Raw genomic sequence first — 13,838 nt, 5'->3', positions numbered from 1 at the left:
GTGCATGCCTATAGTCCCAGCTACTCAGGAGGCTGAGGCAGGAGTATTCCTTGAGCCAGGAGACTGAGGTTGCCGTGAGCTGTGGTCCTGTACTCTAGCCTGGGTGACAGAGCAAGAACCTGTCTCACAATGAAAAAAAAAAGACCTTGGAATCCAACAGAACAAAAGCTCCATGGATGCAGGAGCTGTCTGGTTCACCATTCTATCTCTAGCATGTGCCTGGCACATAGTAGGCATTTAATACATTTTTGTTGAATGAATGAGTATAGCTGAATAAATAAGCCATGCAGGAATGCAGTTTCCAAATATCAAAAGTTCAAGGAGAGATCCATTTTCAGTAAAGATTTTAACATGTAATATTATCTTTTCCACTGATTTTAAAAAATGTTTTCTATTGTGCCTTAACTATCACTATAATTATCTGTTTCTCAAAAACAAAATGTCCAAATGGAAGATAAACAGTCCCTGATCCAGATGAACTCCACAGAAGAATATTTAAAAAGGAGAAAACTGCCAGGCATGGTGGCTCAAACCTGTAATCCCTGCGCCTTAGGAGCCCGAGGCAGGTGGATCACCTGAGGTCAGGTGTTCAAGACCAGCCTAGTCAACGTGGTGAAACCCCATCTCTACTAAAAATACAAAAATTAGCCAGGCATGGTGGTGCATACCTGTAATCCCAGCTACTTGGGAGGCTGAGGCAGAAGAATCGCTTGAACCTGGGAGGTGGAGGTTGCAGTGAGCTGAGATTGCGACCTGCACTCTAGTCTGGTGACAGAGCGAGACTCTGTCCCCCACCCCCCAAAAAAAGGAGAAAACTGAGATGAAAAGCTATCACACACAGCCTACCCACCAGCAAAAATTGGATGTGCACATTTGATAACAGCGCTTTCCAAAACTTTGTTTCCTCTGGTTTCTATTTCAGCTATGTAAGCATTTTTTTAGTCTACTAACTTTAAAAAGTTTTCCCTTTTATATAGCCAAGAACTTACCTTTCCCTTGTCCTCTCTTGGTCCTCCTAAATTTTCTCACAACTCACCTGTGTGGCTTTTCACCAGAATTCCTTTTGTCTGGAAAATCTTCCTTCTTCCTCCAAACCTAACCTGAAAGCATCCTCCCCCTAAATACTAGCCTTTCTGATTTTATAGAAGCTTCATTTCCTTGCAGCAGAGGGCTGGTCTAGCTCTTAATGCTAAATTCATTTTGCTCCATAAAAATGATGCATCAGCATCAGCAAAGCACAGAATCACCTACCAACACATGTCCTTTCTGCCAGTTGCTCATCCAAATATGCCTTTCTGGTGGTGACCTTGTGTTCCCTTCATCCTTCTGGTGACTCAGTTTTCCAAACCACAGAATTTTTCCCTACCAAGTTCACAAATCCTAAATCATTTCTGTTATAGGTGGTTTCCCAGCTGGGTGCAGTGGTTCACACCTATAATCCCAGCACTTTGGGAGGCTGAGGTGGGAGGATCACTTGAGGTCAGGAGTTCAAGACCAGCCTGGGCAACACAGCAAGAACCCCATTGGTATTAAAAAAAAAAAAAAAAAATATATATATATATATATATATATATATATATATGTTTCCCAAGGTTAAACAAACTTGATAAATGAAAGGAACTATGGACAGAAATGAGCTTGCTTGCAATAACGCCCTCTAATGTGTTTAACGCTTTGCACAAATGTTGTCAGGGAGTGAAGAGATGGAGGGAGGAAGGAATACATTTTACAAATACTTCATCAAGATGATTTCATTTGATCTTCCTAACAACCTTGGGAGGCAGGCAGGGCAGGCATTTATTACTCCCATTTACAGATGACAAAACTAAACTTCAAAAAGGTTTAAGTGACTTGCCCAGCCTATATCACATGACTAGCAAGTATCAGCTCAGACCTGTATTAAGGTCTTGCCTCTTCCAACCCCAAGTCTGTCTCTAACTCCGTATGTTTCTGTCTACAGCCAAGGAGTAACTTCCTAGAGATTCAGCATTTCAAAGCGAGAGTAGAGCTCTGACTTCTGGAACACCATCTCCCTTCAGCTACCAAGCTGGAAAGCCAACTTCAATCTCCCCAAGAAAAAACAGTGCCTTTCTCTTCTACATACCCCTCTTAACAACTACTTCTTTCCAAAATAATTTCCAACAGTTCCTGTTTTAAAAAAGACTTACTCATAAGACACTAACAGTCCAAAAAGTTTGCATCAGCGTAAGATTTTCTCAATAAACTTCAGGGCTGATGCAACATTTCTCAGTCAAACTTTACAGCTAAAATGACAAGAACACAGAACAGTCAAAAAATTACGCAAGACAATGCTACAGTTTTTTACTCTACCACATCTGCCTCTATGGGTCTCCTGTGAGTCACTGTCTTTTGTGGTCAGTCATCCCTACAAGAACTGCCATTTTCTACCCTAAATTATTTTATTTTTTAAAGAAAAGATCTGCAGGGCCAGGTGTGGTGGCTCACATCTGTATACCAGCACTTTGTGGGGCTGAGGCAGGAGAACGGCCTGAGCCCAGGCGTTCCAGACCAGCCTGGACAACATGGTGAGACGCTGTCTCCACACACACACACACACACACACACACACACACACACACACCAGCCTGGACAACATGGTGAGACGCTGTCTCTACACACACACACACACACACACACACAGACACACACACACACACACACACACACACACCCTTACAATAAAAACAGAATCCTATTACATCTTTCGCCACCTAGCTAAAGCACTGATCTCTAAGTTATTTTTTCAATGTTTACAATTACCATTTTACATAAACAGAAAAAGAGGCATAGTAAGGTTGAAGTTGGATTATTTAGTCATTTGATAAACACATTTGAAATCCTATCAAAAACCAGGGAATGAGACTCAAAAGTGAGGAAGAAGTGCCCCTCCTCTTGTAGCCTGGTGGAGACAAAAAGTAAAGAAGTAATTACAGGACAAACTAATCAAGATTAAGGTGTGGGTAGGCACATGGGCTGGGGCTGTAGAAATCATGAATGCTTCCTAGGGAAAGTAATTTGTGAGTATTTAGAAACATCTATCTCTTTATTTTCAATACAAAATAAACCTAAAGGACTCGACACTATTCCCTGAAAGGTTATAAGACTTACTTGCCAATAGTCAAGTCAAAAATCAAATTTAATAGCTGAATTACTCTTGACTCCCTATCCTAAATTTCAACCCTTATGCCATACTCCCTTTAGGCACAAATGATAGCAAGTTTAACAAATTCTGTCCTGTATGTGCCTTCTCACATGTCTACAGAATAGGATTAAAGACACACAGCGTGAAATAAATAGCCCTTTTTAAAAAGATAATAATTTTCTTAACTGGAAGTGAATGCTTTGAACAATTCAAGCCCTACAAAGCACGGCTGTCAGAAGAGGAAACTGAGGTTCAAAAAAGTCTCACTTTAATACAACAGAATAAAAGGTCTCTTTGAAGTCATCAGAAGAGCTTGAACGAAAAGAGAAACAGAAGGCTATTGTGAGCTTTAGCCTCCAGATGATGACCCCCCAAACACACTGCAATGGTAAACAAACAAGCCTCTGAGTCTGAATCTGATTCGGTGGACTGACAAAACATCACAATTGAAGGAATCTCTCTCCTCACTCATTACTTTTCCAAAAAAGTCCCACTAGCTGATAGCTCCAGGTTTCTTGCTGGTTCCTAGATTTATTGCTTGGAAATTATAATGCATAGTGGGCCTTTCAAAAAAAAAAAAAGGTACAAGCAAATGAAAACAACCACGGTTTTAAAGCCCCATAAAAGACCGTATATGTAGCAGAAATGAACCCTGCCAATGTTTACTATGAGGACCTATTACTCCTTTATGCTACTCGAGTGGATTTTAAACTCAAATGAATGCTACCACTGCCCACTAAAGAGCAAGTTAGAGAAGCACATTCATACACCTGCTTAACAGCGCCCCGACTGCCGCCCCCACCACTTCCCGGGACCAGGGCCAAGCGGCTGACCTGGAAACGGGGCTGCAGACCCCAGCCACTTACACTCTGCTGTCCCAACAAGTAGGCTCTGGAGTCACACTTCATTTGGCCCGGCACACCCTCATCCCCATCACCCAGACCCTCAGCTGCAAGGAGGAAATTACACGGCCTCAAAAAGGAAAAGGCTGGCGGCGGGCAGAAGTGGATGGTCCTGAGCGGTCTCGTTCCTGCTCCCCTAGTCCAAGGTGAGCCCGGGAATCCCGCAGCCCCCGCCCCCGCCCCCCAACTCGGAGTCGCTTTCCTGGTCGCCGCCGAGCTCCTTCCACCCCGCGGCGCCGGGAGCTGCGGTCCCCATCCTTGGCCCCTCCGGGCCTCAGCGTTCGCCTGGGCCCCAGGGGCCCTGACCCAGACCCAGCGGCGCGCCACAGCCTTCTCGGCCAGGGCCGCCCACCCTGTGGCCCGGTCTCCGTCCGACGACCCTGCCCGGCCCGCGCCAGGCAGCCCGCAGCCCCCTCGCGGCCCGGGGCCGCCCCACGCCGCCCGCCCGCCCGCTGGGCCGCGCACCGTGTGGGACTGCAGGCTCTGGCTCGCCTCGATGGCTGCTGTCAGCGGCACCGTGTCGTCCAGCAGCACCTTGCCGGCTGGCGGCTTCTCCATGAAGGCCATCCCGGGACGCCCGGCCGCCGCCGCCTAGGGACGCGAGGTAGGAACCCGAGGCGCCGACTCCCGCCGCCCGCCCGGTTCCACCGCCGCCGCTGTCAACACGCGCCGCCCCACGCGCCGCCGGGCCCGCGGGGTCCTAGCGCCGCCCTTCCCACGGCCGCCGCCCCGGAGTCCTAGCGCCGACCCAGCGCAGAACGTGTGGGGGCCGCCAGCACTGCCGCCCGCTGGCCCGCTCCTCCGCCTCGCGGCTGCCATGGGCCTGCGCTTCCCTGCTCCTCGCAGCCGCACCGCAGACCCGGTGCCCTTAGCTCCGGGCTTCGGACCAGGGAACACCACCCTAAGCCATCACTACCAGGATCCTCAGATCCAGAGACGCCTGGTCCTGAGCCCTGGGATCCAGGAATCTTCAGGGCGAGATTTCCAAACCAGGCCTCTCAGAACTGGGCTTTTCGGGGACCGTACCTCTTGAAACCCTCAGAACTGGATCTCTCTCATCCCCCAGGCCCAAGGACCCTAAAACTCAGAAAAAGGGCCTTTAGGATGGGACCCCCAGTCTGAGCCCTGCAAACCCAGAGACTTTCTGAAACAAGCCCTTCCTATTGAAACTTCACAGGGACTCTTGAACGTGGCTCCTCAGGCCTGAACACCTAAGAGCTGGACCCCATAATTGGAGGTCTTGGGCCCCAGAACCCTCAGACCCAAGCTCTAAGAACTGGAGACCCTATAAAATGGTCCAGAGACCCCTAGCCTCTACTCTTGGCCCCCACTGCGGGCTCAACCACATCCCTTAGACTTGGGAGTTTTTGATCCCACCATATGGACTAGAAGAACTTCAAACCAAGAGCCAAGCCAGAGAACCTTGGGATCAACTTCTCAGCCCTAAATCTGCCCACAGTCTGCCTGAACCCAAAGCCATAATCCTGGCACCACCTCATCCCCCCCATCTCCATATACACCTAGAAATTTCACCCACACTGCCCTCTCCTAGGGCAGCATTCCAGGATAGTGAAGAGTTAAATTTAGAATTGGAGGACCATCATCTCCATGGCTCTGGCATTTACCAGCTGTGTGATCTTCAATAAGTTACCCAACCTCTCTGAGTCCCAACTCCCCAATTTGCAAAGTGGAGATAATATTATTTGTATGAAAAGGTTAATACAAGGAATGCAGTAGACTGGGAAGGGGCTTGGCACATAGTAAAAACTCAAACGGTGGTCAGGCATGATCGCTCACGCTTGTAATCCCAGCACTTTGGGAAGCCAAGGTGGGTGGATCACCTGAGGTCAGGAATTTGAGACCAGCCTGGCCAACATGGCAAAACCCCCTCTACTAAAAATATAAAAATTAGCTGGGCATGGTGGCACGTGCCTGTAGACCCAGCTACTCTGGAGGCTGAGGCAGGAGAATTGCTTGAACCCGGGAGGGGGAGGTTGCAGTGAGCCAAGATCATACCACTACACTCCAGCCTGGGTGACAGAGTGAGACTCTGTCTCAAAAAACAAACAAAAAAACAGACAAACAAAAACACCTCAAACCGTGGTCAGGCATGATGGCTCACCTTTGTAATTCCAGCACTTTGGGAGGCTGAGGAGAGTGGATGGCTTGAGTCCAGGAGTTTAGCCTGGGCAATATGGTGAGACCCCGTCTCTACAAAAAAATTTTAAAAATACCTGGGCATGATGGCTCACACCTGTGGTCCCAACTACTCAGGAGGCTGAGGTGGGAGAGTTTTTTGAGCACAGGAGGTTGAAGCCGCAGTGAGCCATGATCATGCCACTTCACTCCAGCCTGGGTAACAGAGCAAGACCGTCTCCGGAAAAACAAAAAAAAAACAAAACAAAGTCAATATTAGTTTCCTCCTTCCCCTACAGTTGACAGAATGGAAGGTTCCTAACTCTTAAATTTGCCTCCACTAAATTTCTACACTTCAGATAAGGGAACAAAGTTCCTTGGTAATCCCACCACCACCACCAAAATTTGACATCACAGGAAAGGCCCACATCATACATAAAGGGTCCCTTCTCCAGATCTCAAGCTTATTGGGATTGGTGGGCAGCCCCGTTGAGTCAAGTAGCCATGAGATTGGTCCCAGGGGCCAAGATCTAATAGAGCGAGATGTGAAGAAGGAATCCTGGACCTTCATGATTCAGCCCTAAAATAATCAGAACTCTCCCTCCATTCCACTTTTGTGCCAGTGTGTTTAAAAGCAGCAGTCTATTAAAGCAAAACCATATGTCATTTAGGGAGGATTCAACTTTTTACTTTCATTTCTTTGTTTTAAGGCAAATAGATTATTTCTCTGCCAGAGTCACAGAAACCAAAATCCAGCTATAATCATTACTCCTATTGTGATGTGGACTGACCAAGACAAGGCTCTTTTCTCTTACTGCAGGTGGGAGTATAAATTGGCGCCACCTTTCTGGAGGGCATTCGTACATTCATTCAACAATTATTTGCTAAGTACCTACTATGTAATAGACCTAGTACTAGGAGCTAAAACAAATATGTATTAAGGGCTTTGAAAATGTTCTTATCCTATGACCAAGTAATTCTGCGTCTAGGAGGGTATCCTAAGAAAATAATCAGAGATCAGTAAAAAAAAAAAAATAGCATGCAAGGATAAATGACTAACAGTTGGGTTTTGGACAAATCTTGGTACAATCATGAATTTTTTGCAATGTTAAAAATCAGGCCAGGGTAAGTGGTGCATGCCTATAGTCCCAGGCACTCAGGAGGCTGAGGTGGGAGGATCACTTGAACCCGGAAGGTGGAGGCTGCAGTGAGCCAAGATTGCATCACCGCATTCCAGCCTGGGCAACAGAGCAAAACCCTGTCTCAACAAACAAACAAACAAATAAATAAATAAAAAGTCACATGATTAAAAAATATTTTATGATCTTGAGAAATGCTCTTGATATAATAGTAAATGAAAAAAGCAATTTAGCATCCGTATAATCCCAACATATCTACAGGACAAACACCAGAAGAAAATATATCAAAATATGGGCTGAGTACAGAGGCTCACACCTGTAATCCCAGCACTTTGAGAGGCCGAGGCGGGCACATCACTTGAGGTCAGAAGTCTGAGACCAGCCTGGACAACATGGTGAAAACCTGTCTCTACTTTTAGAGAAAAATTAGCCAGAACATGGTGGCACACACCTGTAATCCCAGCTACTCGGGAAGTTGAAGCAGGAGAATCATTTAAACCCAAGAGGTGGAGGTTGCAGTGAGCCGATATCGTATCACTGCACTCCAGCCTCAGTGACAGAGCGAGACTCCGTCTCAAAAATAAATAAATAAATATGAACGGTGGGCCTCTAAGAAGCAGGATCATGATGATTTCTTCTGTATGCTTTTCTGTATTTAACTTGTATGATTGGGGGAAAAATGTTAGACAACTGGAGTCCAGTGCTCTGACAACTGCTTCCATAAGATAAAGTCATGACAGTAACTGGAAGAAGGCTTCTCTGGGGTTTAGCTCCATTTTCTCTGTAATCTGTCCACACAGTCCAAATGCTTTTGTAAGAGAAACCAACTTGTCCATAGTTCATACCTTACAAGAAATTTCACATGCTCTGAAAAATGCATTTTGCATACTTTTACAAATTAGATTTTTTTCATTTAAGATTATGTGATTGGCAGATGACAATCTTCATGCGTATGTTTTTGACAAATGATCACAGTAGTGATTTTTTTTCAAAGTCAGTAAGTGGTACTTGAAGACTTTCAATATTGCAGGTCCTGTAGAGGACAAAATGGAAAAGAAGCAGACTCCTTTTCATCCAATAATTTTTAAGGAGGATAGGAAAGATCGTCACAGAAACAGTGACTCCAAGACAGCCTATACTGAGTCCTGAAATTGAGGCTCTGGGTACCATGAGAAGATAAGAAAGAAAAGAGTCATGGCACTAGACTGGGTTATGGGGCAGTTCATGGAAGAACTGGGGTTTGAGAGGGGCCTTTAATGATGGGTGAGATTTGGATAGCAGGATATGGAGAAAGAACATTTCACTCAATCTTTTTTTTTTCCAAAATGGAGTCTTGCTCTGTCGCTCAGGCTGGAGTGCAGTGGCACAATCTCGGCTCACTGCAACCTCCACCTCCCGGGTTCAGGCAATTCTCCTGCCTCAGTCTCCCGAGTAGCTGGGATTACAGGCACCTGCCACCATGCCTGGCTAATTTTTGTATTTTTAGTAGAGACGAGGTTTCACCATGTTTCAGGCTGGTCTTGAACTCCTGATCTCATGATTTGCCCATCTTGGCATCCCAAAGTGCTGGGATTACAGGCATGAGCCACTGCACCTGGCCCATTTCACTCAATCTTTTAGCAAATTCCTTGCAGAATACTAGATACCAGACACTATGTCAGGCACAGGGGAGTTAAAACAAACCGGACAGATGTCATCGTCTATCAAGCTGCTTACCTACATGAACGAGAAAAACGATGAGTCCGGGCTCAGTGGCTCACCCCTGTAATCCCAGCACTTTGGGAAGCTGAGGCAGGTGGACGGCTCGAGGCCAGGAGTTCAAGACCAGCCTGGGCAACATAGCAAGACCCCATCTCTACAAAAAATAAAGGCCAGGCACGGTGGCTCATGCCTGTAATGCCAGCACTTTGGGAGGCTGAGATGGGTGGATCACTTAAGGTCAGGAGTTCAAGACCAGCCTGGCCAACATGGCAAAACCCCATCTCCACTAAAAGTACAAAAATTGGCCGGGTGTGGTGATGCACCCCTGTAATCCCAGCTACTCGGGAGGCTGAGGCAGGAGAATCGCTTGAACCCGGGAGGTGGAGGTTGCAGTGAGCCAAGATCGTGCCACTGCACTCCAGCCTGAGCGACAGAGCGAGACTCTGGCTCAAAAAAAAAAAAAGAAAGAAAGAAAAAATTAGCCAGGCATGATAGTGCATGTCTGTAGTCCCAGCTATTCAAGAGGCTGAGGTGGAAGGATAGCTTGAGCCTAGGAAGATTGAAGCTGCAGTGAGCCATGATGGTACAACTGTACTCCAGCCTGGGCAACAGAGTGAGACCCTGTACCCATCACTCCCCACCCCTGCTAAAAAAAAAAAAAAAATAGAAAGAAAGAAAAGAAAACAACGTGGACATGCAGTGACAGGCTAGTTCAGGGGTTTATGGAAGCCCTGGGCACTGCAAAGCCATGTAGGCTGCAGGACTGGAAAGTAGGATGTGTGAAGGGCTGGGGAGGAGATGGCTCAACTGGAAAGGTGGGGAAAGGAGCCTTTCCGCACCCTTCTATCCCCAGCTGTGTTACACAGGCTCCTGACAGTTAAGGATGTTTGCAAGGGAACAGATACTTCCCTCAGAGGAGCCCCTCTGAGATCACAGTGACCACTGACACACACATCTGGCCTGGGCTCTGCTGCTTCAAGGAGGGAACATGAATAACATGCAGGTAAAAGTAATGAGGGGGTCAGGAGCAGTGGCTCACGTCTGTAATCCCAGCACTTTAGGAGGCTGAGGCAGTGGATCACCTGAGGTCGGGAGTTTGAGACCAGCCTGACCTACATGCAAAAACCCTGTCTCTACTAAAATTACACAATTAGCTAGGCATGGTGGCAGAGGCTGAGGCAGAATTGCTTGAACCCGGGAGGCAGAGGTTGCAGTGAGCCGAGATCATGCGACTGCCTCCAGCCTGGGCAATAAGAGCGAAACTCCATCTCAAAAACAAAACAAAACAAAAAGGCCTGGCACAGTGGCTCACGTCTGTAATCCCAGGACTTTGGGAGGCCGAGGCAAGCAGATCACAAGGTCAGGAGTTCGAGACCATCCTGCCGGCCAATATGGTGAAACCCCATCTCTACTAAAAATACAAAAAATTAGCCAGGCATGGTGGCACGTGCCTATCATCCCAGCTACTTGGGAGGCTGAGGCAGAAGAACCGCTTGAACCCGGGAGGCAGAGGTTGCAGTGAGCCGAGATCGTGCCACTGCACTCCACCCTGGGTGACAGAGCAAGACTCCATCTCAAAAAAAATAAATAAATAAATATAAAATAAAAAAGTAGTGAGGGAGTGATGAGAATGAGAAGAGGGAGATAAGCGGGGAAGTCGGGAGGGAGAGGGGAAGGTAGGCAGATGGAGAGAAAAAAAGGCAGAATGTGAGATTCAAAAACTAGGCAAAAAGCTGCCCTCATAAGCCTGAGGAAGAAGCTGGAGTGTTGGTCATAGTTAAGGGCCTAAGCTCCCAGGTGACTTCTTGGGTTCACACCGGCTACACAGCTTACTGGCAGCCTGACCTCTCTTTGCTTCAGCTCCTCGTCTGCAGAATGAAGATAATGATAGCCTCCACTCTGTAGGATCATTGGGAGGACTGGATGCGCTAATGTAGGCAATGACCTGGAAGACAGGCTGGTAGGGAGAATGCAGAGTATTAGCTCTTATGTTATAAAGGAAATCACGGTCGGGTGTGGGGGCTTGCCTCTTTAGGGCTCCTGAGTCTCTTTGGGGACAGTTCCTGGCACAGAGTTTGTGCTCAGTAAATATTTGTCAAATGGATGTATGAACAAACCAAAAAAGGAGGCAGGGCATGGTGGCTCACACCTATAATCCTAGCACCTTGGGAGACAGAGACGGGAGGATGGCTTGAGGCTAGGAATTCAGGACCAGACAGAGCAACATAGTGAGACCCTGTCTCTACAAACAAATTTTTTTTTTTTGAGATAGAGTCTCGCTCTGTCACCCAGGCTGGAATGCAGTGGCGCTATCTTGGCTCACTGCAAGCTCCGCCTCCCAGGTTCACGCCATTCTCCTGCCTCAGCCTCCCGAGTAGCTGGGACTACAGGCGCCTGCCACCACACCCGGCTAATTTTTTGTATTTTTAGTAGAGACAGGTTTTTACCGTGTTAGCCAGGATGGTCTCGATCTCCTGACCTCGTGATCCGTCCACCTCGGCCTCCCAAAGTGCTGGGATTACAGGCGTCAGCCACTGTGCCCTGCCTGTCTCTACAAAATTTTTAAAAAGTCACCAGGTGTGGTGGTGCATGCCTGTAGGCCTAGCTACTCAGAAGGCTGAGGTAGGAGGATCTCTTGAGCCCAGCTGAGGTGGCAGTGACCCATGATTGTGCCACTGGCCTCCAGCTTGGGCAACCAAGCAAGACTGTCTCTAAAACAAAATAAAAATTAAAAATAAAGGAAATCAGCAGATGAACCGTACAGGGAGAGAAAAGTTGTTCAACGGAAAGGAATTCAAATACTTTTCTCCCTGGAAGGGAAGAGAACAGAAAAGGAATTAGAATTGAAGGTCAGAGTTGCAAAGGTCATACAATAACAGCCTTATCTAGTTTTCCTTACTAAGGAAAGGAAACTGAAAGTGAGAAATCAGGTATTTGATGAAATGAAGCCAGAGATAAGCTCTCAGTCTAGCCTTTCCCTTTCTCTGCAAATTCTTCTGGGAAGTGGGCCCCTTAAAGTAAATATTTTGGTAAGCCTCATGATTTATTTTTATCTACCCAAATCAGTGTCTTGTCAGTGATCCTCTGAGGACACTGGACTTAAACTGGATCCATGATCCATGGGGAACCAGGTTTCAAACCCCAAGACCGCCTCGATATCCACCTGGCATTTGAAATGGCTAAGGCCTAGCTGGGCATGGTGGCTCATGCCTATAATCCCAGCACTTTGGGAGGCCAAGACAGGCAGATCGCTTGAGCCCAGGAGTTTGAGACCAGCCTAGGCAACATAGTGAGATTCCCATCTCTACAAAAAGTCATAAAATTAGCCGGGCATGGTGGCACATGCCTGTGATCCCAGCTACTCAGGAAGCTGAGGTAGGAGGATCACATGAGCACAGGAAGGTCGAGGCTGCAATAAGCTGTGATCCCATCACTCCACTCCAGCCTGGATGACAGAGCCAGATCCTGTCTCAAAAAAAAAAAGAATAGAAAAGAAATGGCTTAGGCTGAACATGGGGAAACACCCCAAGGCCGGAGCTGATCTAATTTAAATCGGGTTTTTTTCTATAGTCTCAGGCTGCCTAAGGCTAATGAGGAAAGAGGGAACCTCAGTTTTTGCCACACATACAACTACTCAGGGCTCGCAAAAAAAAAAAATGTATATAAAAAAAAAATATATATATATACATATATATACACACACACACATATTTCCCACTGTTGCCAAATGTTTAAATGGCCCACAGGTTGTTTGTCTAACAACTTGATGTTTGCCCAGATTGACTGAAGATAATGAGTTTTAGCAAGGATGCTCCTTAGGCCTGGCAACTACTCTACAAAATCAAATCATAGAAGCTTGTGAAAAACTCAGTGTTTCCTAAGTAGCATGGCCTCCCAACTCAAAATGCTTTTATTTCTTTAAATATTCATGATCTGGATCTAAAACAACAAAACTCAACTCACAGTCATTCTTATTTCCTTTACGTGTTGATATTTTCCACCACATCACAGGGGACTTTTGCCCAGGGTTTATAAGAAGGTCATTTGAATTGCTTTACAGCTAAGAACCACCTTAGGAATTAACTGTGGGGCCTCCTATTAATCTTGTTGTATTTATGCAGTGTTAACATTGGTTCTGGGTTCCTTATGATTTTTGAATTTAAATGGTTTCTTCTAGTTGGTGATTCTGCTCTAACCCACAGTTTCTCTGAAGATGCTGAGAATTAATTTATCTGCTGTGTTTGTAACCCAAAATAAAAGCAAAGATAAGAACAAAGGAGGTGAAACATCTGGGACACTGGAGATACCTGTGGACCAAGACTAATTCAGCAGCACTCCCATTCTGCTCAGAGCTAGATAATAAGCTATGCTGACACATGAGGCATTCACAGTGGCACAGTTGCTCAGAGTGACAGTCATCCCTTGGTAGAAAATGTTTTAATATGAAAACTTAGTAGATGTAATGGCAATTTTCTTTGGGAATAAATTGGTCTCTGAATCATACTCTAAAAACATAAAGGAAAAATGACTAATAATTCAGCACAAAATGAAAACCTGTGGTTACCTAAGAGGTATCAGTGTGCATTTAGCAATTTCTTCTTTTTCTAGGTGAATAAGCATGTCAGGTCCACAAGACAAATGGTGGCTGTTGCCAGGCTTTCTTCCCATTGCTACTCAAGATTTGCTCCTCAGAAAAAGGAATGAGTGGCATTTCACCAATATGGAAATGTTTCCAATAGAGTATAAAAATCCATTAAGCAATTTTCCAGTACATTAGGCTAAAAGTGCTTAAAACGA

At 46.3% G+C, this 13,838-nt stretch overlaps 1 protein-coding gene across 60 annotated transcripts in view, besides 2 other annotated features; it reads right to left on the bottom strand.

Moving 5' to 3' along the window:
• The window catches only part of PXK (PX domain containing serine/threonine kinase like), a 93,236-nt gene extending 88,507 nt beyond the window's left edge, over positions 1 to 4,729 (bottom strand). For 59 of the 60 annotated variants that reach the window (NR_146194.2, NR_146193.2, NM_001349528.2 and 56 more), the window contains exon 1: positions 4,531 to 4,729. Coding sequence is in view for 37 of the 60 variants with exons in the window: in NM_001349488.2 (NP_001336417.1) it covers positions 4,531 to 4,632 (102 nt within the window). In the remaining 23 variants the exon portion in view is untranslated. Of the gene's footprint in view, positions 1 to 4,029; positions 4,316 to 4,530 lie in introns of those variants that run through there. The other variant, NM_001349498.1, reaches the window with a different exon arrangement.
• Positions 3,885 to 4,179: a silencer, noted in NCBI's record as "tiled region #6112; K562 Repressive non-DNase unmatched - State 1:Tss". NCBI's record gives its function as "represses a minimal TATA promoter and a strong SV40 promoter by Sharpr-MPRA in K562 cells {active_cell/tissue: K562}" and the evidence as "EXISTENCE:reporter gene assay evidence [ECO:0000049][PMID:27701403]".
• Positions 4,426 to 4,955: a silencer, noted in NCBI's record as "silent region_14488". NCBI's record gives its function as "represses an Ori minimal core promoter by ATAC-STARR-seq in GM12878 lymphoblastoid cells {active_cell/tissue: GM12878}" and the evidence as "EXISTENCE:reporter gene assay evidence [ECO:0000049][PMID:35858748]".

Source organism: Homo sapiens, chromosome 3, assembly GCF_000001405.40.
Source record: "Homo sapiens chromosome 3, GRCh38.p14 Primary Assembly".
Taxonomy (NCBI): Eukaryota; Metazoa; Chordata; class Mammalia; order Primates; family Hominidae; genus Homo; species Homo sapiens.
The sequence above is the reverse complement of the archived record's forward strand: the minus strand, read 5'-3'. Positions and strand labels throughout refer to the sequence as shown.